We start from the raw sequence: 3,029 nt of genomic DNA, 5'->3' as shown, positions 1-3,029 counted from the left end.
CACCAAAGTGTTAACTGAATGCAGGTTACCAGATAGAAGCAACTTCCCAGGCATATGCATTAAGAGACAAAATGGCAGAGTATGACCTTCTGAGGACACTCCACTGGACAAGGGAAGAAAGCCTCATTAGGCATGCATACAACTTCCTAAATACACTGTGCGTGCTCACTTCCCAAGAGTAACGGGGGGTACTGTGTGTGTGGGCAGCCCACCCTAAGGGAAGAATCATGGGAAAGGGGCCAACTTATAGTATAGAGTCCTAGAATCAGTGGTAAACAGGGTGCTTGGGTCTCTTCCAAGCATACTTTCCTTTCTTTCCTGTTCTAAAAATAAAGCCTTTTTAAAAAAAACTTCCACTCCTGCTTTGAAACTTGCCTCAGTCTCTTTTTCTGTCTTATGACCCTCAGGTGAATTCTTTCTTCTGAGGAGGCAAGAATTGAGGTTGCTGCAGACCCATGTGGATTCACCACCAGTAACTCTGATACCTTCCACTGGTAACAATCTGCATAGTTGGCCAGGCGTGGTGGCTCACGCCTGTAATCCCAGCACTTTGGGAGGCCAAGGTGAGCAGATCACTTGAGGTCAGGAGTTCAAGACTGGCCAACATGGAGAAACCCCATCTCTACTAAAAATACAAAATTAGCCGGGCATGGTGGTGCATTCCTACTCGGGAGGCTGAGGCAGGAGGAATCACTTGAACCCAGGAAGTGGAGTTGCAGTGAGCCGAGATCATGCCACTGCACTCCAGCCTGGGCAACAAGAGAGAAACTCGGTTAAAAAAAAAAAAAAAGCATAGTTTTTCTTCATAGGAACAAGTAGTTAATATCACAAATATATCTTGCCAGGTTAAATCAAAAGCAATAGTTAAAGCATGAAATTCTTGAGTGAACTTAGAGGGATCCTAGCTAAATGAACCCAATTTGGATTGAATTTGTGAAAGATCAGACATTAAAAAAGGGACATGAACTTTAATTGTTCCCGAATTTCCATTTGCCACCTTGCAGAGAGGCAAAACATTTTTGAGATTTTCCTGAGGGTTCTATACTAGTGGCATATGTGACTCCGGTCCGAGTATGTGAGGGGGATAAAGTGTCTGGATATGAGGGTGGTTCATTAGGGAATGGGGCAAATGGAGAGAGTTTAGGTGATGTGGGAGCGGGCTGAGGAGAGTATGGTAGGCAAAAGAAAGGATCATCTAAGTCATCAGAATCAGGGAGAGAGGAAGTTTGTTGGAAGCATACACGACAATTTTTATGTAATTTTGGGGTTTGGGATAAAGCCAAAAAGACGCAAACATATGGGACCTCTGAATCCTTTCCAAGGTTCCAGCAAAATGAGTCTAGTTGTAAAATAATATTCCAATCCAGCGTCCCATTAAGAGGCCAATTTAAATTATTGGGAGCTTATACAGAACCCAAGCTGTATTACAAAAGAAAATCATATGCTTCTTTTTGAGAGATTGTGGGTCAAAATGGGATCACTATTTAAGAACGCAACTTAAGGGTGAGTCAGATGGAATTGAAACAGGAATTGAACCCATGCTGGGTTTTGTTAAAGGGCTATAAGAGCCCTGAGGCATTCCTGAGGGATTTAGACCTTCCTTTTCTCTTTGTCTCACTTCATTCAGAGGCATCCCACCAGGGATAATGCATCTGCCGTTGCCTGGATGACCAGTCCAGACATGCCCTTGTTTCAGTGGTCAGACCTAACATGAAGGAGAACTCACCCTTTATATGGGATGTTGTGATGAGCTGTGATGAAGCGGAATCCAAAATTGGGTCCACTTAGGGTGCAGTGTATATACTGCTCAGGTGATGGGTGCCCCAAAATCTCACAAATCACCAATAAAGAACTTATTTATGTAACCAAACACTACCTATTCCCTAATAACCTATGGAAATAAAAAGTTTGTTTAAAAAAAATTAACTGCTGAATCCCAAGCACCTAGAAAAGTGGAAGCATATAAAAGATGCTTCATAAATATTTGTTGAATTAAAAAAACAATGGGTCTGCAATCAGTGATCAGTAGAGTATGTCTGTGCAGAGTTCATATGGCTGCTGCTTGTTTCCAAGGCATGGTTTAAAGGATAATGAGAGAAAGGGAACTTGCCATCCTGACAGGCAATAGCGAATTTGTTCTTCTGTCTTCACCTTCAGGTAACACCAGGAAGTGCCCTAGGCCAGAAACCCTCAATTGCCAAAGAGTACTCCAGCTGCTTCACTGGCAGTCCAAAAAGAGAATGCAGTCTGGCCAGTCTCTTACCCCTAAGGACAACAACAGACAGGAATCCCTTCTCTGGGGCCTCAAGATCCCACTGAAGAGTGGCCTAGGCCAGAAACCTTCAGTTCCCAAGAGTAAAGAATTAGACCACTGAGGGGAGCTGGAAGGAAAAAAGAAGGCAGAAATGCCAGTAAAGTCCCCATATGGGCCACCAAGATGCCAGCCCCAGCATCAGAAAGTGGTCAACTGTCGGGTTTGCAAAAATTTACCAACAGCCGGGTGCAGTGGCTCACTCCTCTAATCACAGCACTTTGGGAGGCCGAGACAGGTGGATCACTTGAGGTCAGGAGTTCCAAACCAACCTGGCAAACATGGTGAGACCCGATCTCTACCAAAAATACAAAAATTAGCCGGGCATGGTGGCGGGCTCAAGGAGAATCACTTGAACCCAGGAGGCAGATGTTGCAGTGAGCGGAGATCACGCCACTGCAATCCAACCTGGGTGACACAGTGAGACTTCACCTCAAAAAAAAAAAGAAAAGAAAAAAAATTACCGATAACTGTATAGGTTTGAAAATAGAAAGTTTTATTAGGAAGGAAGAATGCTGCAGAAGAGTGCAGTGGGGCGCCACAGCAAGAAGGAACTGAGTGTGCCCAGGTGGATTTTTCCTTAGTGATATTTATGGACATTAAAGTAGGAGCTAAAGGGTCATTTGCACGATAAATGATTACCTTTGCAGACATTTAAATGCCTTAATGTTGGCAAGGGTTGCACAATGAGTTTTGGCATGCATGCATTTCAGAAATG

At 43.8% G+C, this 3,029-nt stretch overlaps 1 annotated feature.

The window, feature by feature from the left end:
- Nucleotides 2,069-2,363: an enhancer, noted in NCBI's record as "tiled region #9340; K562 Activating non-DNase unmatched - State 24:Quies". NCBI's record gives its function as "activates a minimal TATA promoter and a strong SV40 promoter by Sharpr-MPRA in K562 cells {active_cell/tissue: K562}" and the evidence as "EXISTENCE:reporter gene assay evidence [ECO:0000049][PMID:27701403]".

Source organism: Homo sapiens, chromosome 1 (genome assembly GCF_000001405.40).
Source record: "Homo sapiens chromosome 1, GRCh38.p14 Primary Assembly".
NCBI classification, from domain to species: domain Eukaryota; kingdom Metazoa; phylum Chordata; class Mammalia; order Primates; family Hominidae; genus Homo; species Homo sapiens.
Note: the sequence above shows the minus strand (reverse complement) of the source record. Positions and strands in the feature narration are given on the sequence as shown.